Raw genomic sequence first — 27,933 nt, 5'->3', positions numbered from 1 at the left:
TCTGCAAATAATGCCATCTTCCGCTAGGTGCTCACTGCACACAGACTCGCCGCCCACCACTTCTGTCCACCTTCTGAACTCCGATAGTTATTTACCCAGAGACTGTTTCTCATCTTTAAGTGTCGTGAAGACTTTAAGATCTGTTTTATCTCTCTATACCCCAAAATGGCCTAGCACAGTAACTAGGACATTGTAGGTGCTCAATAAATGTTTGTCGAATATCAATGACAGCAGGAGGCAGTAAATGGTCCCTCTTTGTAGGGCCTACAGCTGTGCCTGAGTAGGATGTACAGAAGTCCTGCATACGTGTGAAGTGTCTCCAGGAAGCTGCACTGGAGGGGACAGGAAATGTGGGTAATCGTATGGTGCAAGTGGTAGCAAAAAAGACAACATAAGGAAAATGTTATTTAGGTTTTGCCCAGTCTTGCTGTTTAAAGCCCTGTGTTAGATGCTTTTCATGCGCTATTTTACTGAATGTAAACAACCACCTTATTAAATATACTCACTTTTTTAAAACGAAGAAACACGTACTGGCCGGTCACAGTGGCTCACGCCTGTAATCTCAGCACTTTGCGGGGCCGAGGCGGGTGGATCACGAGGTCAGGAGTACAAGACCAGCCTGGCCAAGATGGTGAAACCCCGTCTCTACTAAAAATACAAAAATTAGCCGGGCGTGGTGGCGGGTGCCTGTAATCCCAGCTACTCGGGAGGCGGAGGCAGGAGTATCGCTTGAACCTGCGAGGCGGAGGTTGCAGTGAGCCGGGATCGCACCACTGCACTCCAGCCTGGGCAACAGAGTGAGACTCCATCTCAAAAAAATAAAAAAAAAGAAAGAAAGAAAGAAAAAGAAACAAGTACTGAAAAAGCTAAGTAATTTGCCCAATTTTATACCATCAATAAAAGGGAGCTGTAAGCTTTGGGATCTGCTTTGCCCCAAAGCCTGTTTATACTTTTTCAGCCCCATGCTATCCCCTTGACAACAGAGAAGACACCAAAGTTCTGTCACTGTGCTCAGAGCAGGGTTACCCTGGTATCAGCCTATGCACAATTTCTACTTCTTATACCTTGTGTTGGTCTGTCTTCTCCTCGCCTCCTAAATTCCCCAAGCACATCAATGTCTTTCTTTTCTAATATCCCGTTACTCTTGTGTTTACCCTACAGATTGGCCCTGAATCTATCAAGTTTTGTACTAGTTGCATATAGTTTCATGAGAGTAATTAATCTCTGGAACAAGATTGGAGGTTTACTGTGGAAAGGTTTGTGGCCCTTCCCAGACGTCTCCGCAGTGTTAGGCCGGTAATAGGTATTCAATATGGCTCCCTTGTTTCTCCTACTTTTTAGTAGACACTAAGATTGCATTTTTCTTTATATTCTTTGTTGATTACTGTGGCCTTGACTCTCACCACTCTTTGGATAACTGGATCTTGGCCCTAGACTAAATCTCCAATTACCCGTTACCCATCTTCACATAGATACAGAAGTCACCAGCACCTTCAGCTCCCATATTAAGGTTATCATTTTTCCTCCCTCAGTCTCACAAAGCCAGCTCCTCCTCGTTTCCTCTGTATTTCTGTTCATGGCCGTCACAGAACACTCTTCTGAGAACTAAGAGAACCAAAGTTTCAGAAATATTATATACTCCTCTGTACGCCTTGCTCCCACCCAGTTATGAAGTCTCTAAATACCACTGATGCATATTTCTTATATGTACTTCCCTTTTGTCTGATTGCACCACTGCCTTCCTAATTTAGACTGTCATTTCTACTGCCCAAATGATTATAGTAGTATTTCCACAGTTCAGCTTGAGTTTTGTCTCTATCATGTCTCTACCTGCCAAGGTAAGTAAAAACTTTTCGCCTCAGCCATCAAGGCTTTTCTCAGTATGGCACCAACCTAACTTTCCATCTCCCTTAAGTAAGACAGCACAATAAAGTAGAAAGGGCAGGAATGTGACATCAGAAAGACACTTATTCAAATCTTGGCTCTATCACTTACTTGCCTTATGACCCCTCAAGAACCTCAATCTTCTTGTCTATATCAAGGCTAATGATATCTACCCTGTAGGGTTGTCTTAAAGATTAGAAATAATACCTGTCAAGAGCTTGACGTTAAAAGACAGAAATAAACGGTAGCTAATGTCACGAAATGGGAAGTGATACACTGACTGAGAATGTTACATTCAAGCCACACTGGATCGGAGAAACAACCTGTTCATTCCTACCTCTAGGCCTTTGTTTCCTAACCTGGAACACATATTACCCCAGCTCGCAATTTCTGCCACATTCTCTAAGTGCCAACTGAGAAGCTAACTACTACAGAAAAAAATCCTTGATTGCTCATACTTTCCAGGTGCTCTTCCACCCCTGAACTGTGTGATGCTGTGTCTCCTGCATAGAGCGGTATCTACTATCAGTATTTCTGCATGTATCTTATACATCATGATCATGTTAGATTCTAAGGACCTTTGTCTCCTTCATAGTGGATTAAAAGCATGAATTCTGCACATAGTGAATGACATCATTACATCGCCAAAGCTATATCTATTTCTTAATTCGTTGTCTAGAGATCAATATCAAATTTTGCATTCCCAGGAAAGAAAACATAGCTATTCACCTAGAATTTAAATTCTGGGTTTAAACCTTGGCTGAGGCCGGGTGCGGTGGCTCACCCCTATAATCCCAGCACTTTGGGAGGCCAGGGTGGGTGGATCAGTTGAAGGCAGGAGTTCGACACCAGACTGGCCAACATAATGAAACCCCATCTCTACCAAAAATACGAAAAATTAGCCGGGCATGGTGGTGAACGCCTGTAGTCCCAGCTACTTGGCAGGCTGAGGCATGAGAATCAGTTGAACCCAGGAGGCAGAGGATACAGCGAGCCAAGATTGCACCACTGCATTCTGGCCTGGGTGATGGAGTGAGACTCTGTCTCAAATAAATAAATAAATAAAGCCTGGCTGAGCTACTTACTAGCCATATAACTTTGGTCAGGGTACTTAACCTCTTCGTGACTCAGTTTCCACTTCTGTATAGTGGAGATTGCAATGGTACCTACCTCACTGGGTTGTGTAAGAAAAGAAATAACACATGTAGAGGAATATAAAATGTGTTCAGAATATACAAATATATAGAGACAGAAGGTAGATAAGTGATTGCCTGGGGCAGAGAAGTGGAATAGACATAGGGGAGGGGAGGAGAAATGGGAAATGACTACTAGTGGTTATGGAGTTTCCTTTTATTTTGAGAGGGAGTCTCGCTCTGTCGCCCAGGCTGGAGTGCAATGGCATGATCTCAGCTCACTGCAACTTCTGCCCCCCAGGTTCAAGCGATTCTTCCGCTTCAGCTTCCTGAGTAGCTGGGATTACATGCTATCCGCCATCATGCCCTACGAATTTTTGTATTTTTGTAGAGACGAGGTTTCACCATGTTGTCCAGGCTGGTCTTGAATTCCTGACCTCAGGTAATCTGCCCACCTCAGCCTCCCAAAGTGCTGGGATTACAGGCATGAGCCACTGTGCCTGGCCTTTTTCTTTTCTTCTTACAGAGTTTCGCTCTTGTTGCCCAGGCTGGAGTGCAATGGTGCGATCTCGGCTCACTGCAACCTCTGCCTCCTGGGTTCAAGTTATTCTCCTGCCTCAGCCTCCCATGTAGCTGGGATTACAGGCATGCGCCACCACACCCAGCTAATTTTGTATTTTTAGTAGAGATGGGGTTTCTCCATGTTGGTCACGCTGGTCTCGAACTCCCAACCTCAGGTGATCCGCCTGCCTCAGCCTCCCAAAGTGCTGGGATTACAGGCGTGAGCCACTGTGCCCGGCCCCAGAGTTTCTTTTTTATGCGATGAAAATGTTCTAAAATTGATAGTGGCAACAGTTGCACAACTCTGTGAACATACTAAGACCCATTCAATTGTATGCTTTAAATAGGTGAATTGTATGATATGTGAAGTATATATCCATAAAGCTGTGTTGAAAAAGAAATAACACATGTGAAGGACATATAGTTGGCACATAATAGGTGCTCAAAAATGTTGCTTATTTTTACTATTTTTAATACACTGTATTAGTGCCTTGCATATAATTAGGTATTCAATATTTGTTGAATTAAATTTATTTGTTGAATTTAGATTCTAGGTGAATAGTGATGTTTTCTTTCCTGGGAATGCAAAATTTGATATTAATCTCTAGACAACAAACTAAGAAATGGAAAGATACAGCTTTGGTGCTGTAATGATGTCATTCACTATTTGTAGTTAATTGAATAAAAATATGTGTCAGGATTAACTAAAGGCATTCCTAAGGAAATGTCAAGCCTAGATGCCAAGTCTGATCTGTAATCTTGTCCACCATCTTTTCAATAATAAATTCAACCATAACAAATCTCCCTTTCATTTTAACAAACTATGCAGATACCAAGTTTAGGGGTAGGTTTTCTGGTTACTTTTATTTTTTCTAGAGTTGGTCTTTTGGCTTAGTCTTGTACTTTTCTAGGGGATTTGTTATTCTGCTGGGCAGAATTAAGAAAAAACTGAAATTTATCAAAAATAAATGTCTTTGATAAGAAAATAGGCATAACCATCTATCTTCATGTATATAAATATTTGTGTGTATATATGTGAGTATGTGTACATGAGCATACAGCAAAGGAAATATTGATTATAGAAACCTCTGTGATATCAAATCCAGAATGCAAAAAAAAAAAAATAGGCATATCTACAAAGGCAGCATTTAACCGTATTTGACTACAATTGAAAGTTAAAAATTGAAATTTTTGAGTGAGGTCCGAAAACAAACTGATAGCAGCAACCAGAGTAAGTTGTGAGACAGGAGCACAAGATGCACATTTTAATTATTTTTATTTTTTAGAGTAGGTCTTACTCTGTCACCCAGGCTGGAGTGCAGCGGCACGATCACAGCTCACTGCAGTCTCAACCTCTGGGGCTCAGGTGATCCTCCTACCTCAGTCTCCCCAGTAGCTGGGACTACATGCACAACGCCTGGCAAATTTTTGTATTTTTGCATTTTTGCAGAGACAAGGTCTTGCCATGTTGCCCAGGCTGGTCAGGATGCACTTTTTTTTTCTTTGATACAGAGTCTCGCTCTGTTGCCCAGGCTGGAGTGCAGTGGCGTGATCTCAACTCACTGCAACCTCCGCCTCCCGGGTTCAAGCGATTCTCCTGCCTCAGCCTCCCGAGTAGCTGGAATTACAGGTGCACACCATCACACCTGGCAAATTTTTGTATTATTACTAGAGATAGGGTTTCACCATGTTGGCCAGGCTGGTCTCAAGCTCCTGATCTCAAGTGATGTGCCTGCCTTGACCTCCCAAAGTGCTGGGATTACAGGCATGAACCACTGCGCCCGGTCCTTAAGATGCACATTTTAAGAGGAGATATATGAGACAAAGTATGTGATTCTTGAACCCCCTCATGCAAGACCCTTCCACCTGGTCACTGATATGAAAGGATGGAGAAATTGTAGATTCAAAGGGTTTGACAGGAAGATTTCTTTGGATAGGCAGTGGGGTGCAGAGGTGGCTTCTTCCTTACCTCAAGCTCGTAGTAGGGGCATTGAGAAGACAATATGGAGAGCTTGATGCGTGGGCCAAAATCTGAAAGGCAGAGTAGCCTGTGGCTGGATTCAGGCCTGAAAAAGGCATAGCAACCTTGACAGCAGAGTAGAGGATGGTGGCAGGGAAGGTAAGTGTTGCTGCTCTAAAATGGGAGTTAGGCCAGGTGCAGTGGCTCATGCCTGTAATCCCAACACTTTAGGAGGCCGAGGTGGGCAGATCACTTGAGCCCAGAGTTCGAGACCAGCCTGGGCAACATGATGAAACTTTGTCTCTACAAAAAATTAGCTGGGCTTGGTGGCACAGGACTGTAGTCCCAGCTACTCAAGAGGCTGAGGTGGGGATATCACTTGAGCCGAGGAGGTCGAAGCTGCAGTGAGTCATGATCGTGCCACCACACTCCAGCCTGGGTGACAGAGTGAGACCCTGTCTCAAAAAAAAAAAAAAAAAAAGAATAGGCATTTTCCTAAAGAAAAGAAGAAGAAGGAGGAGGAGTAAATTAAAATCCCAGCACTTTGAAGTCCAAGGTGGATGGATCACCTAAGGTCGGGAGTTCAAGACCAGCCTAGCCAACATGGCAAAACCCTGTCTCTACTAAAAATACAAAAATTAGCTGGGCATGATTGTGGGTGCCTATAATCAGCTACTCAGGAGGCTGAGGCAGGAGAATTGCTTAAACCTAGAAGGTGGAGGTTGCAGTGAGCCAAGATCACACCACTGAACTCTAGCCTGGGCGACAGGGCCAGACTCTGTCTCAAAAAAATAAAATAAAATAAAATGGAAGGGATCCCCCTAAGGAGGCAGCCTACCAGCTTGAGTGGACCCCAGAGAAAGAGGAATATTTGGCTACAGGACACTGGGAGTGGCCACCCAAAGGGGAGGCAATATACACATCCAGAGAGTTGTAGCTGCAGAGGCTGAGCAGGAGAATCCTTAAAGAACCCAGGACCTCTAAGAGAAACAATGGGCTTTACCTATCTACCAAGCCTGGGGTAAAGCCACCTTACAACAGTACCAGTCACGTAAGAATGTTCTTGTATCCCTTACGGCTCTTCCCTGACTCCTCAGTTCCCTGCCTTCCACCCTGGGCAGGGTAGGAATAATAATTAGCAAACCTGAGGAAACGGATATACTCCAGACAGGAAAGGAGAAAAGAAGGACCACGCCTCACTTCATGGAAGGAGGCAGCACTAATGCAGGAAGTCCTAGATCAAAACGGATAGAAGTTGTACCTTTGAGTAAAGATTAAAATGTTGATTCATATACTGGGCTGAATATTTTATTACTAAATTAATACTGTGTTTGCAAGCTAATGTGATATAAGACTTTTATTAACTACAATGGATGAGAAAAGTCATGGGGCTTGCCTGAGTTTTTACGCAGGAGTAAAAGGAATTTCCCCACTTAGGACAGTGAGAGAACAAAATAAAGTTGCTTCTATTATTACACCCCTGAGTCTTGTTTAGTCGCATGCATGAATAATGACCTTTACCAAAGACATAACCTTTACCAAAAGGAAGGATTCTTTTTGTTTGTTTGTTTTGAGACAGGGTCTCACTCTGTTGCCCGGCCTGGGGTGCAGTGGCGCGGTCAGCTAATTTTTGTATTTCTTGTAGAGATGGGGTGTCGCCGTGTTGCCTAGGCTGGTCTTGAACTCCTGGGCTTAAGGGGTCCTCCTGCACTGGTCTCCCAAAGTGTTGGGATTACAGGTGTGAGCCACCACAACTGGCCCAAAAAGAAGGATTCTGAGAGAACCTGAGCCAGCAAAAAGTAATGGTAGAGATAGAAAAGCAGAAAGCCAGTCATAGAAGCATCAATAACATTCCACAGGCAAGAATGAAATGATAAAAGGAGAAAGAAATAGGAAAAAGAGAATTAAAAAGCAATAAGCAAACATGGTTTACCTTTGGAACATTGAATAAAAGGAAGAAATTATAAAGAAAAATTGAAAATTAGCAGCAACAGTCCAGAAAAGTTCAATGCTTATAAAAACCCTAAAAATCATTTTATTTTATTTTATCTTATCTTATCTTACTTTATTTTATTTTATGTTTTTTGAGACAGGGTCTAGCTCTGTCCTCCAGGCTGGAGAGCAGGGGCATGATCTTGGCTCACTGAAACTTCCCAGGCTCAAGCCATCCTCTCATCTAAGCCTCCTGAGTAGCTGGGACTACAGGCATGCGCCACCACACCCACCTAGTTTTTGTATTTTTTGTAGAGATGGGATATCACTTCATTGACCAGGCTTGTCTCAAACTCCTGAGCTTAAGTGGTCCACCCACCTCAGCCTCTCAAAGTGCTGGGATTACAGGCATGAGCCATTGCATCTGGCCTTATATTTTTTTGACACAGGGTTTCACTCTATGGGCCAGGCTGGAGTGGTATGACCACAGCTCACTGTAACCTCAGACTCCTTGGGCTCAAGTGATCCTCCCATCTCAGCCTCCTGAATGGCTGGGACCACAGGTACATGCCACCACACCTGGCTAATTTTTACATTTTTAGTAGAGACCAGGTCACATTGCCCAGGCTGGCCTTAAACTCTGGGCCCAAGCCATCCTTCCACCTCCACCTTCGATAGTGCTAGAATTATAGGCATGAGTGGCCACCATGCCCAGCCTAAAAACCAGTTTCTGAAAAATGGCAAGATGCTTTATATCATTAGCAATCAAGGAAAGACAAAATAAAACCATAATGAGAAGTCATTTGATACTTTTGTCAGAGTTTAAGCCAAACTTTATATCCAGATTTGCAAAAATTAAAAGGTCTGATGTTATTACATGTTGGCAAAGATGTGAAACAGTGGGAGTTTTTATTCACTTCTGAGGGCTGTGTAAGTTGGTACAATGATTTTATAAAACATTTTGGAAATATGCAGTAAAACTGAAGATATGACCATGACCCAACAATTTCATTCAAAATAGTCCACATTCTCAAACTCTTTGTTACTAGACCAATAAGATAAAGAACTCATGCAAGGATGTAAATCAACTATGTCACTAAATATACTATTTAGGGATGAGCTGACTTTTTTTTTTTTTTTGAGACGGAGTCTCACTCTGTCCCCCAGGCTGGAGTGCAGTGGCGGGATCTCGGCTCACTGCAACCTCCGCCCTCCGGGTTCACGCCATTCTCCTGCCTCAGCCTCCCCAGTAGCTGGGACTACAGGCGCCCGCCACCACGCCCAGCTAATTTTTTGTATTTTTAGTAGAGATGGGGTTTCACCGTGTTAGCCAGGATGGTCTCGATCTCCTGACCTCGTGATCTGCCCGCCTCGGCGTCCCAAAGTGCTGGGATTACAGGCGTGAGCCACCGTGCCCAGCCAAGCTGACTTTTTTTAGATAAGACTTCCTTAATGAAGGAGACAGTATGATGATATATATTTTTACACAAGCTTCTTATCTCACTGCAGACTTGGATTAAATGGTTCGCCGCCGTAAGAAACTCACCCAGGTGCACAAGGAGACAAGTACAAGGAATTTTACAGAAGCATCGTTTATAATAGCAAAAATAGGAAATAACATGTCCATCAATAAAAGAATGGGTAGTAAACTGAGGAATATTCATACAATGAAAGACCAAGAAACAGTGAAAATAAATTTAAGGATGTATCACACAAATATAATTTTTAAAAAGCAGATTGCAGGCCAGACGCGGTGGCTCACGCCTGTAATCCCACAACTTTGGGAGGCTGAGGTGGGTGGATCATCTGAGATCGGGAGTTTGAGACCAGCCTCACCAACATGGAGAAACCCTATCTCTACCAAAAATACAAAAAATTAGCTAGGCATGGTGGTGCATGCCTATAATCCCAGCTACTCGGGAGGCTGAGACAGGAGAATCACTTGAACCCAGGAGGCCGAGGTTGTGCTGAGCCGAGATCGCACCATTGCACTCCAGCCTGGGCAACAAGAGCAAAACTCCATCTCAAAAAAACAAAAAAATTAGCTGGGTGTGGTGGTGGGCGCCTGTAGTCCCAGCTACTCGGGAGGCTGAGGCAGGAGAATCGCTTGAACCCGGGAGGCGGAGGTGGCAGTGAGCCGAGATCATGCCACTGCACTCCAGCCTGGCGACAGAGCGAGACTCCGTCTCAAAAAATAAAAATAAAAAGGTTGCAGATAGATATATATAGTATGATGCCACTTCCATAAAGCTTAAAAGCATGCACAGTACTGGTATAGATTATTTAGGAACACATACAAATGTAGTAAAAGATTTTTAAGTGCTGAGGAATAAAAAATACTAAATTCAGAAAAGTGATTACCTCCTGAGGGAGCAGAAGAGATTAATATGTGGTAGGGGTGAACATAGGAAGCTTCAACTATGTTGGTAACATTTGATTTCTTAAGCTAGGTGTGGATACACAGATGATTGTATTATTATCTTTGTAGCTTTTTTATTTTCAAAATATTAAATAATAAATTTTTAAAATAAAAATAAATAATAGAAATTTTAATATACTAGTGGGGAATGGGAGAAAGAACAGCCAAGAAGGAGGCATAAAGGTTACAAGAAAATAACTTCACACAGTTGAAATGATATCCTACTGATTTGAGGCTTAAGAAACTTTTCCTCTTTGTAACCCTGGACAGACAAATACAGTTGTTATTTTTATCGAAGTTTAAGCCAAAATTTAAGAAAAAACAGCAGCAACTACCTTGAAGGTAAATTAGCAGCAGTTCCAGTAAGAAGTAACTACCCCTAGGGAACGGTAGGGCAGAATCAACTCTACCCATCCTGGCTCTAAGCTACTTTTTCTTTTATTTATTTATTTATTTATTTATTTTTGGATTTATTTTTATTTTATTTTTTTATTATACTTTAAGTTTTAGGGTACATGTACACATTGTGCAGGTTAGTTACATATGTATACATGTACCATGCTGGTGCGCTGCACCCACTAACTTGTCATCTAGCATTAAGTATATCTCCCAATGCTATCCCTCCCCCCTCCCCCCACCCCACAACAGTCCCCAGAGTGTGATATTCCCCTTCCTGTGTCCATGTGATCTCATTGTTCAATTCCCACCTATGAGTGAGAATATGCAGTGTTTGGTTTTTTGTTCTTGCGATAGTTTACTGAGAATGATGATTTCCAATTTCATCCATGTCCCTACAAAGGACGTGAACTCATCATTTTTTATGGCTGCATAGTATTCCATGGTGTATATGTGCCACATTTTCTTAATCCAGTCTATCATTGTTGGACATTTGGGTTGGTTCCAAGTCTTTGCTATTGTGAATAATGCCGCAATAAACATATGTGTGCATGTGTCTTTATAGCAGCAGGATTTATAGTCCTTTGGGTATATACCCAGTAATGGGATGGCTGGGTCAAATGGTATTTCTAGTTCTAGATCCCTGAGGAATCGCCACACTGACTTCCACAATGGTTGAACTAGTTTACAGTCCCGCCAACAGTGTAAAAGTGTTCCTATTTCTCCACATCCTCTCCAGCACCTGTGGTTTCCTGACTTTTTAATGATTGCCATTCTAACTGGTGTGAGATGGTATCTCATTGTGGTTTTGATTTGCATTTCTCTGATGGCCAGTGATGATGAGCATTTTTTCATGTGTTTTTTGGCTGCATAAGCTAAGGTACTTTTTCAAACCAGCCAAGAGATGTCATCTTCTTGCCTCAACCCATCCCCACCTCTACCTAAATTCCTACCAGGGAAAGAGGCGTGGAAAAGCAGAACAGCTGGTTCTAAGTAAAAAGAGACTCGAAGATGATGCTAACATTGTCCAAATTGGGATTCACTCAAGCCAAACAATTACATTGTCTTCGATGGCAATTTCGTTAATTGCATTCTCATTACATGTTCTTTTATAAAACAGTTTTCTAGCCTTAAGGGACACATGAAAACTTCTTAGTTTTACGTTGAACTTACTTTGTGTGACTTTAAGAAAAAAATCAAGATATTAAAATTTAGGAGAATTACGGCTGGGTGCAATGGCTCACACCTGTAATCCCAGCACTTTGGGAGGCTGAGGTGGGTGGATCACCTGAGGCCAGGAATTCGAGACCAGCCTGGGCAACATGGTGAACTCCTGTCTCTACTAAAAATGCAAAAATTAGCTGGGCCTGGTGGTTCCCAGCTGAGGCACGAGAATTGCATGAACCCGGGAGGCAGAGGTTGCAGTGAGCTGAGATTGCACCATGCACTCCAGCCTAGGCGACAAAGTGAGACACTGTCTCAAAAATAAATAAATAAATAAATAAATAAAATTTAGGGGAATTAAAAACTGGAAATTAAGTTTTTCAAGTATACATCTCTCTAATAATAAAATAACCACTTAAAGTGAAAAAAGGAAAAAAAAAGAATGATTAACTAGTAGATCCACTCTAAAAGTAGAGCATCAAGCATTAGTAACTCTAAATAAATAGAAAATATGTTTTAGAATTTGAAAACATTAGTGAGGCAGATGGTATCTTCCAAAGATGGTTGCACCAATATATTTCATCCCACATGTTTTTCTTATAATGTGATGTTGACATTTCTGCATTGAGAGATGGGGTCTGAGTTCCCTCTTCTTGAGTCTGGGTGGGCATTTGTAATGGCCTCAACCAATAGAAGACATCATAAATGGTACAATGTGACCTCAGAAGTTAAGTCATAAAAAATTCAGATTCTGCTCTGTTTTCTCTTTCTAGGGACAAATGCTTTTGGAATCCTGATCTGACATGAAAAAAGTTCACCTGAAGCTGCCATCCTGGAAGACTATGAGATGGAGATGCCCAAGAAGCCCCAGGTATTCCTAATCCCAATTGTTTAAGTCTTTCCAGTGTTAACCACCAGACATGTGATGGATTAAGGACTCCAGATTATTCCAGTTCCCAGCTGTCTTAGTCAGGGTTCTCCGGAGAAGTTATCACATGATTACAGAGGCTGGCAAGTCTGACGTCTGCAGGGTAGACCAGCAAGTCAGAGACCCATGGAAGTTGATGTTGCAGCTCAAGTCCAAAGGCAATCTGCTGGCAGAATCCTCTCTTCTGTTTCCTCAGTGTGTTTTTACTTAAGAAACTGATTGGATGAGCCCCACCCACATTATGGAGGGTAATTTACTTTACTTAAAGTTTACTTATTTAAATGTTAATCTCGTTTAAAAAATACCTTCAAAGCAACATCCACACTGGTGTTTAACCAAGTATCTGGGTCCTATGACCTTGCTAAATTGACACATAAAATTAACCATTACACCAACCATTAAGCTACCCCAGCTAACACCAACTGGAACAGCAACAAGCCGCTCCACCAAGTACGCCCAAATTGTAGAATTGTGAGCATAATAAATATTGTTATTTTAATCCACTAGCTTTCAGGATAATTTGTTATTCAGCATTAGTAGCTAGAAGTTATATTTGTAAACCATAGTCTATTTGTATATACATTTGTTGTTTCATTCCTTTTTTTTGAGACGGAGTCTCGCTCTGTCACCCAGGCTGGAGTGTAGTGGCGTCATCTTGGCTCACTGCAAACTCCGCCTCCCTGGTTCAAGTGATTCTCCTGCCTCAGCCTCCCAAGTAGCTGGGATTACAGGCACCTACCACCATGGCCAGCTAATTTTTTTTTTTTTTGTGTGTGACAGAGTTTCCACTCTTGTTGCCCAGGCTGGAGTGCAATGGCGCGATCTCGGCTCACTGCAACCTCCACCTCCCAGGTTCAAGTGATTCTTCTGCCTCAGCCTCCCACGTAGCTGGGATTACAGGCACCTGCCACCAGGCCCAGCTAATTTTATGTATTTTTAGTAGAGACAGGGTTTCACCATGTTGGCCAGGCTGGTCTCAAACTACTGACCTCAGGTGTTCCACCCCTCTCGGCCTCCCAAAGTCCTGAGATTACAGGCATGAGCCACCGCATCTAGCCTCATTCACTTTTATTTTCACATTTGTTTTGGGCAGGAAGGACATTAAAACATAATCACTAAAATTGGGAGCCAGTCAGAATGGAGCAGAATCAGAGGCCCTCCTTATTGGACTGGGTGTAAGCTCCTTGGTTGTTAGATTTTGGAAATCAGCAGCTATTTACCAATCACTGTGGAATTATGTTAATATTTAAATAACAAAACCAGTGCAGGCTAGGTATCAGCTAAGCATGAGGTATGATACCTTATTGCAGTGTTTTCAGTGGGCTTTAGCCCATTTATTTGATCATCCTAATAGCCTTAGAAGAAAAACACAGCAAGACTTTGCCTTTGGTGAGAATGCACTGGACAACCTAAGCAGAGTCTGTTTTTCACTGGGCAGATCTCCAGGTATGAGTCTATCTCAACAACATTGTGTTTGTCTCATGATGGATGCTACTCAGCCCTGAGACCGCAACTCAACTCAAAGGAATTGCCCTGAGATTTTGAGACTCTGTGGGAGGGCACATGATGGAACCTGTTGCTGATCAGATACCTAAAACACAAAACACATAAAAAATCATGTAGAATGTACCTTAAAGTTCTTTGAGTATTCAGCCATTTGGAGTGACAGATAAAATACCAGTAAGGAAACAATGTTTGTCTACCACACAGAAAAAGAGAAACTTGAAATTTGGGCTCATCAGTGGCTCAGAATCTCACTCTTCTAAATATGAAGTTAACCTGACCATTGTGAAAAGCCATAGCTTGGAACAGAAGAAACTCTAATTAAACAGAGTCTAGTAAAATTAAAACAGGGCCCTTTACCTCATTGACTTTACTTACAATCTCTTCTTGGTAAATATGAAAACAGATGGGTTCTGCTTTATTGCTAGGTAACAGTGTATTGCTATCTATGAAAGTCAAGGCATCACTCCAGGGAAAAGATCAGAGAGATCTTCAATCTACCTTGTGCCTAAATGAATTTAGCAACAAACAAGCCTAAATAAGCACAAATTCATTTTGGATGGTCTGGGAATTTATTTCATGACTTTAAAAAAGATGTTAAAATCGACACCCCAAATAATCTATAATTATAATTAACATTGATTTTGCACAAACCAGTTGCTGAGAATGAAATTCTTGTGATAAAATAGCTCAGGGTTTATAAGGGCTTAAAACTTTCATAGTTCAGTAGCAGGGTATTGTTGATCTAACCTACATCTGATTGCAAACCTTGTACTCACAATGACTTGCCCTGTGACTCTAGAATAACGAATTTAATCCCTGTGGACTTAGTATTAGCAGGAATTCTAATTTTAAGGTATGTATCTTTTTTTGAAGTATAGGATACATCTTGAAGATTTAGTGGAACTATAGGACAAACAGCTAAATCACCACCTTGTTTGAGTTATTGGTTCATAGTGGTTGGGAAAGGTAACTAGGATTTAGGAAGTACATGCTGTAATATGTAAAGATGACAAAAAAGAATAAAGATGCCCTTCACAAAGTTAGTTATTCACAATCAAAAATAAAACAACTTGTTTAATGCAGTGCTGTGCATTTAGCTGACAGTTAATAAAAACTCATTGAATGGACGGGTGAATTAATTCATCCATCAGTGAGATAAGCTAGGAGGAACTAGCTGGAAATCCAAGGCAGAACAAATCCACTTCTTAAGTATCTGGTTGTTCAGAACAAAGTAGTTTTGGGGATTAAATTACATGTCTGGAATATTGCTTCAGATCCACGTTTCACTTTTGTTGGCTAATCTCTCCTTAAGATTAGTAGTGAAGTGCTCTTGGAATAAAGCCAAGCAATGGAGTTAGTTTCTTCCTCCTTTATTTCTGGTAAGGTCAAAAGCAAACTGGGATTTAGCAAACCTGAGGCTGGCTTTAAACAAACAAACAAACAAACAAAGACTTAGAATCATAGACTCATTTACTGTAGCAATTGTGAGACAGAAACAATGGGTATATCTTAAAAGCATTATTTAAAAAAAGCATTGTTGAGTAAAAAAAAATGAAGTTGCTTAAATGATGTTTGTAGTCTGACATTTACATAAATAAAAGCCAAAATAATTCAATGTATATGTACAAATCTATAACATATATAAAAATGGTAAATTCTGGTGGTGGGGAGATGAGGCCAATTTTGATCCATTTAATTGCTATGATTTGCTTCCATTTTGTTAATGTCTTCAACAAGATTTGTGAATCAGACAGCCAATATATTTAAATCTAACTACTAAGTCTTTCCTATTTCTCTAAATTAAGTTTTATACCAGTTAAGAAAAAGAGTACTTCTGAAATGTGTTATTTGGGAATGTTTTTAAGCTTTAAAAATTATGTTTTCCTACATTTAATCTTTACAAACCTTCAAAGATTAGTTTCTTTCAATGTTGAGTATCTTCTTTAATATATTCCCAATGGGGGCTTCCTTGAAGTAGTGTAGCTAACAGGCATGGTAATCACTTTAACTATACAAAGGCAATGCCTTATTCTTAGAACACTCTTAAAAAGAAGAGTGTCTCTCTTAAGAGCATCTCTCTGTTTTGATGCTGATTTATAGCCTAATAATACAAATGAAATATGCAATGGGACATCTTATAGCAAGACAGCTGCAATTTTTTAAAAAGCTGAAGGATATGTCAGAATGAGGTTATATGTAATCAAACCAGGTTATATTTTACAAGGGATGAATCACCCTATTTACAGGCAGTGGAAAGTTTTAAACTTTTGACAGGAGATTTTCTGTGGTCCTTCCAAAAACAGAAAAAGGCAGCTGGGTGCCCAGCCTGGAAGAAGACCCTCAGGTTTTAGTGAGACTCACTGACTACTAAAAACACTCCTGGAATCCCAGGACTGAGTGCACCCACCTGTTGAAAAAGGAATGAGAATCTGTGAGCATTTGGTTACAAATCCTACTGCATTAACAGAAAGCCCACAAAATATTATAAAGGGGAAAAAGCAGCTGAAAAACTGTCAGGCAGAAATAAGAGTAATAATGAAGTGGTAGCTGGTTTTGGAAATATATGTGATTACATGTATTATTAAGCAGGAATTGAAAAACATTCTAACATACACTGATCATGTATTAAATGTGTATATATTCTAATTTTCATTATATATATAAATGGTTATAACATATGTATTCTATATAACACATATATGACAAACACTTGTATAACCTCTAATAACCTCAATACTTTCATATATTTTGTCTTGTTTAATTCTTATCAAACTCTATGATATATTACCATCAGTCCTCTTTCACAGATAAGGAAATTTATTGGAAAGGTGAAATGATTTGCTTATGGTCACAAGGTTGGAGAAGTGGTATAGCTAGAATTTGAACCTCCCTTTTCTGAATCCAGAATGTATAACTATTCCATTACACCACGTGGCTGTGCAAAGCCATTCTAAGAAAGACTGCCTGCATGTCCTATAAACTTCCATGTACAAAAATCAAGGACTTGCCTTGAACCCTTGAACTGGGCCAAACTGTACACTGCCAACCACAACATCCTGGAAAATATTGATGTTGTCCCATAGATCCCATATACTTTGTTCATTCCTTTTCATTTCTTTTTTCTACTCTGACTATATTTTCAAATAGTCTGTCTTCAAGCTCACTGATTCTTCTGTTCGATCAATTCTGCTGTTGATGCTTTCTATTGCATTTTTCATCTATTGTAATTTGTAGTTCCAGGATTCCCGCTTAATTTTTGTGTTTATTGTTTCAATCTCTTTGTTAAACTTCACTGATACATTTCTGAATGGATTCTCAATGTTTTCTTGAAGTTCATTGAACTTCCTTAAAACAGCTATTTTGAATTTTTTGTCGGAGAATTACACATCTCCATCACTTTAGGGTCAATCTCTGGCACCTTATTTTGTCTGTTTGGTGAGGTCATATTTCCCTGAATGCTCTTGATGCCTATGTAGATGCAATGATGTCTGCACATTGAAGTATTAGGTATTTATTTCAGTCTTCACGGTCTGGCTTTATCTGTGCCTGTTCTTCTTCAGAGGTCCTTCCAGGGATTCTAAGCAGACTGACTGATATGTTCCCTTAGGCTGTGATTACTGCAGCTGTCCCAGCACTAGAAGAGACTCTGAGCCCAGGCTTGCCATTAGTCTCATGAGGACTCCAAGGTTGATGGGGCTTTCCAGATGGACCTGGAGAAGATCCAAGGAGGGTACTGGGACTGTGTGGGAACACTGACAAGGGACCTGGATCCAGAAGACTATGTCCCAGTGGCCCAGCAGATCTTTGCATAGACAAGATGAGTCCCCAGTTGCAGTGAAAGAGGCCATTTCCCCATAGCATTTTGACTTGGGGAACTCCAGGGCCCTTATCAGTTTCTGTTAGTCCCTTCAGCTCTCATTCACTTAATTGGCTGAAATTTTCTTGGAAGCCCACAAAGCTCGAATTTCTTTCTTCCAAAAGGGGGAAATGCAATTACTACTGGAAAAAAACTACTATAGAGGGAACCCTCAAGGAACTCACTGTACTTTCCATCTCTATATTTTCAGTTCTTGAAAACAAGGAGAAAGTATCACCTAGTGAAACATTTCAAGACCTACTAACCTCTCTACTCTGAAAACTTATGGTCCAAATGCACCACAGATATTGACTGTTTTCATTCAGCACAACCAATTAACATACAAATAGATGAAACAAAAAGACTTCCAAACATTAAACAATTTGATTCCCTTATACTAGGAAGCCATTCAGGGAATCAAACCAATTTTTGAGGACTACCTCAAGCAGGGACTAATTATTCCATGCACTAGCCCAGGTAATACCCCCATTCTATGAGTACAAAAACCTAATAACCAGGGATGGAGATCTGTCCTGGACTTAGAAGCCATCAATAACATTTTAATACTCCATTATCTTGTTGTACCTAGCCTGCATACATTACTATCCGCCATACCACCAGGTAGTCAGGTTTTCACTGTGATTGACCTCTGCAGTGCTTTTTTTTCTTTTTTCTTTTTTTTTTTTAATCATCCTTGTTGATCCAGCTAGCCAGTATCTTTTTGCCTTAACACGGAAAGGACAACAATATACCTGGACAGTAATGCCTCTGGGGTATGCTGATAGTCCCAAATACTTCTCCCAAGTCTTAAAAACAGACATAGCAGATTTGGCACTTCCTTTGCATTCTGTTCTCATAAAATATGTGGATGACTTATTACTTTGTTCCTTTACCTTAAAGGCTTCCATAGAGGACAGCCACTGTCTATTAAAGAAAGTAGCCACTAAAAGCCATAAAGCTTCAAAAGAGAAGCTACAACTTTCTCTCTCACAAGTGAAATATTTAGGACATCTAATTTCAGGACAGGGTCTTTTGCTCGATCCCCAAAGAATAAAATCAATCTTGGGCCGGGCGTGGTGGCTCATGCCTCTAATCCCAGCACTTTGGGAGGCCGAGGTAGGCAGATCACAAGGTCAGGTGATCAAGACCATCTTGGCTAACACAGTGAAACCACGTCTCTACTAAAACAACAACAACAACAAAAAAAATTTACCTGGGCATGGTGTCATGTGCCTGTAGTCCCAGCTACTCAGGAGGCTGAGGCAGGAGAATTGCTTGAGCCTGGGAGGAGGAGGTTGCAGGGAGCCGACATTGCGCCACTGCACTCCAGCCTGGGTGACAGAGTGAGACTCTATCTCCAAAAAAAAAATCAATCTTGGCTTTTCCTGTTCCCATGACCAAAAGACAACTCTCTGAGTTCTTGAGATTAACAGAGCACTAGATAATGAATCTCAAATTTCTCTGCCATGGCTCAGATTCTGTATTACCTCCTAAAAACGGGCCACTTTGAACCCCTACAGTGGCCTGAGAAGCCTTCTCCTCTTTTGAAAATACTGAGGAGAATCTTCTTGGGCCCCCTGCATTAGGGCATTCTAGAGTCTCCCCCTTTCCGTTTTTGTTCATGAACAAAATGAAAATGGCTTAGGGGTTTTTACCTGAAGGCATGGAGACCATCAGTCCCCTCAAATATTATAGCCAACAGGTCCTGGGGCAACATGACTCCTATCCTATATGTGAGCTATCATAGCCACTGCAAATTTATTAAGTGCGATCAAATAATTAATGATAGGATCTCCATTAATTTCAATCCATACCTCCAACGACTCACTGCTAGCAGACTCACTTCTTATAGATCCTATTATTATCATCCCTCTAATGTAACTATTGATTGCTGTAACTCTTTGAATCCTGCCACCTTATCTCTTCTTCCTTCTGACGAGACACCACATGACTATATAACACTAACCCCCAGAAAAAACCTATAGGAAGTCCCCATTCCAAATGCTGAATTTGTCTGGTTTACTGATGGATTCTACCTTGAAATACCTCAGGGAAATGTCAAGCTGGCTATGCTGTTGTCTCACTGTCTGAAACCATTGAAAGTGGTTCCCTACCCAAGACTACTTCTGCACAGCAGACAGAACTCTTTGCTCTCTCCTAAGTATCCTGGCAATTAATAAGACTGCAAATACCTATACTGATAGACACTGTGCTTCTGGGGTCAAACGTGATTTTGTTATGCTCTGGAAACAAAGATTTTCTGAACTCTACTGGCCAAAAGATTAAAAAAAACAGTGACTATGTCCTGAAATTACTTGATGCTACCTAAAAACCTAAATCTTTAGCAATAATTAAAATTCCATGACACACAAAAAAAAAACTGATTCTAAAGAAGGTAAAGGAAATGACTTGACTGACAGAGCTGCAAAAGCTGCAGCTTCTATGAACCAACCACCCAAACTCAATACTCCTTCAGATCCTCTAATGGCCAATGCAATATAATCAAGACCTGTATCCACAATGCATGACAGCCCCCAAATTGAAAAAAAGATAGGAAAACTGAAGAATGTTTTCATGACTCTAAAACCAGCTGTGATGGTTAACATTAATATTAGGTGTCAACTTGATTGAATTGAAAGATGCTTAGGTAGCTGGTAAAGTATTGTTTTTGAGTGTGTTTGTGAGGGTGTCGCCAGAGGAGACTGACATTTGAGTAGGTAGACTGGGAGAGGAAGACCCACCCTCAATGTAGGTGGGCACCATCCAGTTGGCTGCCAGCATGGCTAGAACAAAGCAGGTGGAAAAAAGTGGGATAAGCTGGCTTGCTGAGTCTTCTGGGTTTCATCTTTCTCCCATGATGGATGCTTCCCTCTGTTCCCCCTGCCCTTGGACATCAGACTTCAGGTTCTTTGGCCTTTGGATTCTTGGACTTACACCAGTGGTTTTCTGGTGGCTCTTGGACCTTTGGCCACAGACTGAAGGCTGCACTGTCAGCTTCTTTGCTTTTGAGGCTTTTGGACTCAGACTGAGCCACTACTGGCTTCTTTCTTCCCCAGCTTGCACACGGCCTGTAGTGGGACTTCGACTTGTGATTGTGTGAGCCAGTTCTTCCTAATAAACTCCCTTTCATACATCCTCTGGAGAACCATGAGTAATACACCAGCCTATAGCATGGGCTCCATAAGAGATCAGTCTTGCCAGGGGGCCTCCAAGATCAAATTTTAGATTATATTAATCACTTAACCCATTGGGGATAAAATGATAATATTATTGGAAACCCTCCCCAAAGGTTGCTTCTCAAGTTTAGCAAAGTTTAGCAAAGATCCCAAGTCTGTCCCAAATACAACCCTAGAAAACATATTCATAGTTCCATAGGGTGTTTTCCTTTAGCTTCAGGATCTTTTGAGATATGACAGATGGATTTTATCTAGCTACTACCATCTCAATGATATAAATTTGTTTTGGTTATGATTTATATGTTTTCCCACTGGGTGGAAGCCTTTCCCCATTGCAGACTAACAGCCTAAGCAGTAAGTTAAATCTTATTAGGAAAAAATAATCCCCATATGGGGTGTACCCTCAGAACTGTACAGTGACGAAGGCACTCATTTTGCTAGGCAGAATATAAAATCAATATGTAAAATTTTGCCTATTCTGCATTTCCACTGTGGCCACCACTGACAGTCCTCTTGATTAGTGGAACATACTGATGGAACAATTAAGACTCAATCGGCGCCAGGCACGGTGGCTCACGCCTGTAATCCCAGCACTTTGGGAGGTCGAGGCGGGCAGATCATGAGATCAGGAGATCGAGACCATCCTGGCTAACACAGTGAAACCCTGTCTCTACTAAAAATACAAAAAAAAAAAAAAAAAAGATTAGCCGGGCGTGGTGGCGGGCACCTGTGGTCCCAGCTACTCAGGAGGCTGAGGCAGGAGAATGGCGTGAACCGAGGAGGTGGAGCTTGCAGTGAGCCAAGATTGTGCCACTGCACTCCAGCCTGGGCGACAGAGCGAGACTCCGTCTCAAAAAAAAAAAAAAAGGACTCAATTGGCAAAATTAGTTGAATCTTTCAGTCTGTACTGGCCAAAAGTTTTGCCCTTGGTGCTGTTTAATCTTAGACCTACCCCTTTTGGAAAACATTGGTTATCCCCATTTGAGATAATTACTGGAAGACCCATGCACTTTATGAATCAAATCTAATCAAAGGTCACGTGCTCACCTACTGTAAGGAACTGGTCCAGGTGTTATAAAAAAATTTGTTTTTCAAGGCTAAGTCTCCTGAACGGACATCTCAATCTGATGGTTATCTGAAATTAAAATTTACCAGGAACCACTCTGCTGCTCAGTCTTGGAATAAGAAGCAGGCAACGTGAGAAGCTGACAGCTGGCCCAAGTGTCTGGCCCCTGCCTGTATAAGACTCCAAAATATTACTCACTCTTTATTACCCTTGTTCTAATTTTTATCCTAATTATAGAACTACTTTATCTGTCATTGAAAGTCTACAAGGACCACAACAACATGTGCCAATCCTTGTACTTCTGCCAAAATAAATTTCTTTTCTTTCTTTTTTTTTTTTTTTAGACAGAATCTCACTCTTTCGCCTAGGCTGGAGTGCAGTGGCATAATCACAGCTTACTGCAGCCTTGAACTGGGCTCCAGCAATCCTCCTGCCTCAGCTTCTTGAGGAGTTGAGACTACAGGTGCACACCACCACACCTGGCTAACTTTTAAACCTTTTGTAGAGACAGGGTCTCACTATGTTGCCCAGGCTGGTCTCAAACTCCTGAGCTCAATCTGCCTGCCTCGGCCTCCCAAAGTGCTGGGATTACAGGCGTTCACCATCATGCTCAACCTTTAAAATGGGTTTTCCTAAATAATTTAAACCTCACATGAATACCTTTTCAAACCTGGGAGAACTTATTTTTAAATCACCTCTTAAATTTTTCCCCCCAAAAAGCAACAATGGCTTACAACAAAAATATTTCACTGAATTGTTTACAGAAGATAATCCATTTTCTAAGTATATTAACAAAATTTACAATTTATTAATTTTAATAAAAATTCATACATGTCTTTTGGTATCTAGAAAGCTGACCTAGTGATTCAAACAGAAAAGATTAGATTCCTGAAATACACTTCTGATTCTATCACTGACTCATTGTGCAGGCTTAAGCAAGTTATCTAATCTCCTGGTATCTTAGTTTCTGCACCTATAAAATGGAGGTAATAATATTTGCTATAAGATAACATCAGCTATGCACTTGAAGAACCTCAGATGGAAGGCGCCAGAAATATGTTGCTATCTGCAGCATGACCTCATACTGTCTGAGAAATGGACCTTACCAGGCTTGTTGATTATCCCAGCACCTTACTTCCAAACTTCTCCTGTTCAACTTACTTTTTTACTTTATTCGTTTCTATTTACCGGGTACTCTTTATGTATTTTAATTTCATTGGCTGTTTTTATTGTTTTGAGGAGAATTGATACTTTGAAGAAACCATGAAACTAAAACTTTAATTTTTTTGTTTAAATTATTATGTTTAAAATTTGAAACAAATTTTTTAAAGCACTTAACTTTCCAATTATGGGAGATGGCTGTAGCTATGAGAGTTATATTAGCCTTATCCATTCATTCCTCTTGTTTACTTAGAGTTTATTTCACATTAATGTTAGCATGCACATATTTACATTACTCCCTGTATACTTTACAAAAGCTTTAAGGCAGATGTTGAGACTGCTATAAATTTGGATGTTTGTGTTCCTTTTCTGCAGGAACGAGATAACAGGTGATATAAGGGCAAAGGGTTCATTGCTTAGAGCTAAATCTAAGCTTAACCTATAGTCCAACCAGCTAATACATGTAGATCTCCTTTGGGCAAACTGCAAAGGTCAAAGGGCCACCTTGGGAATAACCAGATGACTTAAAAAAACAGAACTGCTGATTCAATAACAAAACTTAGAGGTAAAGCCAGAGATAGGAAGTTGGCTGCATTTTCTGAACACAAAAGTACTTCGTTCCCTCTCTCTGCCAACTTGCTTATTCAAGGCTAATGAAAATATTTCAGAGGAGCAAACCTTTGGTCTTTGGAACTTGCCTGTTAACAATAGAAAGCTTAATTCTTTGGAACTATTTCCAAAGGAAAAGATTTCATTGGAATTTGCTCACTCAGATCTTATATTTCAAGCAGCAAGTATTACACTACTCCAACACAGTTTGAGATGCCTGTTGAATGTTGGACAGATCATGGACTATAAGTGATTCTCTTTCAGAGGCTATATCAAGCAAAATATTCTGGGCTTTACATTATATTAAGCTATTACAAACTTTGCCAATTTTATAGAATCAGCATTGACAGAGACTTTAAATATCATCTAGTTCAATTTCCTTTTTTTTTTTTTTTTTTTTTTGAGACGGAGTCTCACTCTGTCGCCAGGCTGGAGTGCAGTGGCGTGATCTTGGCTCACTGCAACCTCTGCCTCCTGGGTTCAAGTGATTCTCCTGCCTCAGCCTCCTGAGTAGCTGGGACTGCAGGTGCGTGCCACCACGCCTGGCTAATTTTTTTTAACTTTAGTAGATATGGGGTTTCACCATGTTGGCCAGGCTGGTCTCGAACTCCTGACCTCGTGATCCGCCCGCCTCAGCCTACCAAAGTGCTGGGATTACAGGCGTGAGCCACCACGCCCTGCCCAACTTACTTTCAAATTAGGACATCAGAACCATAATAGGCCTTTGTTATTAGAGAGCATTCTACCTAACAGAGTTCCAAACATTATTGTCAGGTTTTTATCTCTATAAAGAGGTGTAAATTTCACTAGATAATCCGGTGATTCTATGGGCCAGGCAGTATGTTTCCTCAACATACATGCATTATGTGTTTTTTTTGTTAGTGTAAGTATGGACTTTATTTTTTTTAAAGTCTTTTGAGGACTACAAATTACAAAGTAAAAGCAGATCACTACATAGAAATCTAGTGAATACATTTTGCCTGTGCATGAAAACTTTATCAAAGTTATTCATTTAACAAATTCACCCCATTCACAATATTCAGCTATAATGTTCTTTTAAAGGTTACTATACCTTTATTTAAAATTATGTTACGTTATTCCCTCAAAATGAACTTTTAAACGACAAACTTTTGGCTCATAAGAATGGCACCTTCAAAAGGGATGACTTCCACTCAGTCTCTGGTGGCATTATTCCAGGCTAGTTTCTTTCACCAGTTAAAAACCTTCAAAATGTTCACTTTTAACACAGTCTTTCCATAAAAAATATGGCTACATTCCACCACCACCTCCCCAAGCATCGTATGCTTATATTATTTAATGCCATTTTTGCTCCTTAAGAAGTGGATACTGCCTGAGTATGGTGGCTCACGCCTGTAATTCCAGCACTTTGGGAGGCCGAGGCGGGTGGATCACTTGAGTCCAGGAGTTCTAGACCAGCCTGGGTGACACAGCGAATCCATCTCTACAAAAATTAGCTGGGTGTGGTGGTGTGTGCCTGTAGTCCCAGCTACTCAGAAGGTTGAGGTGGGAGGATTGCCTGAGCCCGGGAGGCGGAGGTTGCAGTGAGCCAAGATCATGCCACTGCACTCCAGCCTCAGTAACAGAGAAAGACCCCATCTCAAAAAAAAAAAAAAAAGTGGACATTATGATGGAATACAATGTAGAATTGTAGAATGATGGTTAAGAATGCAGATTCTGGAGTCAGACTGAGTTCAAATCCTAGCTCCATCAGTTACTAACAGTAGTTCTGGGTCTGTGTTTCCTCATTGGTAACAGAAAGATAGTAATAGCACCTACTTCAAATATTATGAAAATTAAATGATATAGTATATGTATGGTGCCTAGCATGGTGCCTGGCACATATTAAATGGTCAATAAACGTTACTGACTTAATTATTTACAGACTACACTAAGCTTACAGTGTGACATAGGTTGGGTTTTCTGAGAAGCAGACTCAGAGTACAAGGTATTTAGTAGGGAGTGCCTTGGTATCAACACCCATGGAAAGGAGGAAAAGGAAGGAGAGGGGAGAGGAAAAAGTCATGCTATAATACAGGCCCCATAGCTTCAGCCAACCCCATAGGGAAGCTCTGGAGTGCAAATGGCCCACCATAGTTGCACTGTGTGGGGCTGAGAAGGCCAAGCCTTTGTATCCCGTGTCATTAGAGTGCACCACTCTCCCCCTCCCCAACGTAGTCTTCAGCAAGGTGGTTTTCTGCAGCTGAGGCAAGCTGTGAAGTGGTTGAGAGTGAAGGCTGTCCACTGAACACACTCCCAGCAGATGGCAAAACAAATTACTCCTTGAAAGGAGATCCAGGTTGCACATCTCCGTGTTCAACACGGGATAGTCTGTGCAGCACTTGGAAAATATCAACAAATTATAGTTACTTCAAGAAAAGAAAGTGAGGTTGATTAAGTATGGGAGTAGGATGGTGAAGATGAATGGGAAGAATAAACCATGGAGAGAAAGAGCTATTTGCATGTGATCAAAAAGCTTTCTTGAAAAAAAATTAATTAAAAAATAAAAAAAAAACCTTTTAAATTTTATAACTAGAGATGGGGTCCCACTATGTTGCCCAGGCTGGTCTTAAACTCCTGGGCTTAAGTGATCCTCCCACCTCATCCTACCAACGTGCTGGGATTATAGGCATGAGCCACTGTACCCAGCCAGGAAAGCTTTCTTATTCTTTATAGTACCCCTGATTTGGGGCAAGGGTGGATTCTGATAACTGTAAGGCCTTTTGTTTAATAAACTTTGTGATGGGTTGGGGCTTGTAATGGAGGTATAAGATGGGAAGAAAGCCCAAGTTATTCGTATGACAAGGGTCACCTAAGAGGCTGGAAGTAGGAGCCATCACAGTTGATGCCACACAGGAAAAGGGGAGAGAACTGTTGGTGGTTAAGAATTTTGGTAAATGAGGCCGGGTGCGGTGGCTCACACCTGTAATCCCAGCACTTTGGGAGGCCAAGGCGGGTGGATCACCTGAGGTCAGGAGTTCGAGACCAGCCTGGCCAACATGGTGAAACCCCGTCTCTACTAGAGATACAAAAATCAGCCAGTGTGGTGGCCCAGGCCTCTAATCCCAGCTACTCGGGAGGCCCAGGCAGGAGACTTGCTTGAACCTGGGCGGCGGAGGTTGCAGTGAGCCGAGATCGCACTGCTGCACTCCAGCCTGGGTGCCAGAGCAAGACTCTGTCTCAATAAAAAAAAAAAAGATAGTAGTTACATTATTTTCCCCATTTTTAGACAAGGAAACTGAAGCATAAAGAGCATAAGTTGCTAGTGTCATTCAGTGAGAAAGGCATGGAGCTGGGATTTGGCCCTAGGCAGTCAAACTCCAGACCGTAGGGCCTGTACTCTTAATCATACTCTCCCTCATTACAGTAAGGATAAGGATGCTTCTGTTTTCTGTGGGATGTGTTTTTTGTGTACTATCAACAATTTTTCCTCTGTAGGAAATTGCCAGTGCTCTGGATGCAAATGGATTTTTCCTTAGGAATTCAGAGTTGCTGAGTTTTGCATCAAGACTGAAAGAGGCCAAAAAGAGAAGCTGTGTGGTAAGCAGGGGCAGTTAACCAATCCCTGGGGTACATGTAAGCATTTTGAAAAAGATTAACTGTGAGTCAACATTGCAGTAAATTTAGTTATAAAATCATGATTATGTATGCAAATATGTGTCAACAGGTAGGACTGTGTGATGACTCATCCTACTCAAAATTCTCTAGACTCGGTTTGTGCAATATTGGATTCTACAATGCTGAGCAAGGGAAGAAAAGTGTTTAAAGGAGAGCCACAAATAAGAATATATAGGTTGAATATAAACTTTATAGAGCCTGAATAGATTGGAATGGAATAGATGGAGGCTTCACACTCCTTCCCACATGCATTGTCCTATGCATCTCTTCATCTGGTGTTCATCGGTATCCTTTGTAATATCCTTTATAATAAGCTAGTAAATGTGAGTACAGTCATGTGTCACTTAATGAAGGAGATACATTTTGAGAACTGTGTTGTCACCAGGCGTGGTGGCTCTTGCCTGTAATCTCAACACTTTGGCAGGCTGTGGTGAGAGACTTGCTTGAGCCCAGGAGTTTGAGACCAGCCTAGGCAAAATAGTGAGACTCCATCTCTATAATAAATAAATAAAAATAAAAAAGACGATTGCACTGTTAGGCAATTTT

The 27,933-nt window shown here is 41.1% G+C and overlaps 1 long non-coding RNA gene across 1 annotated transcript, besides 1 other annotated feature; it reads left to right on the top strand.

Annotated features, from left to right (window-relative positions):
• On the top strand, positions 1,626 to 27,933 carry LOC101928933 (uncharacterized). The gene is made up of 4 exons (XR_241158.4): positions 1,626 to 1,838; positions 12,223 to 12,320; positions 27,208 to 27,309; positions 27,437 to 27,933. It is a non-coding gene; the product is annotated as an uncharacterized LOC101928933 (long non-coding RNA).
• Positions 1,689 to 1,798: an enhancer, noted in NCBI's record as "active region_2158". NCBI's record gives its function as "activates an Ori minimal core promoter by ATAC-STARR-seq in GM12878 lymphoblastoid cells {active_cell/tissue: GM12878}" and the evidence as "EXISTENCE:reporter gene assay evidence [ECO:0000049][PMID:35858748]".

Source organism: Homo sapiens, chromosome 1, assembly GCF_000001405.40.
Source record: "Homo sapiens chromosome 1, GRCh38.p14 Primary Assembly".
Classification (NCBI taxonomy): Eukaryota; Metazoa; Chordata; class Mammalia; order Primates; family Hominidae; genus Homo; species Homo sapiens.
Note: the sequence above shows the minus strand (reverse complement) of the source record. Positions and strands in the feature narration are given on the sequence as shown.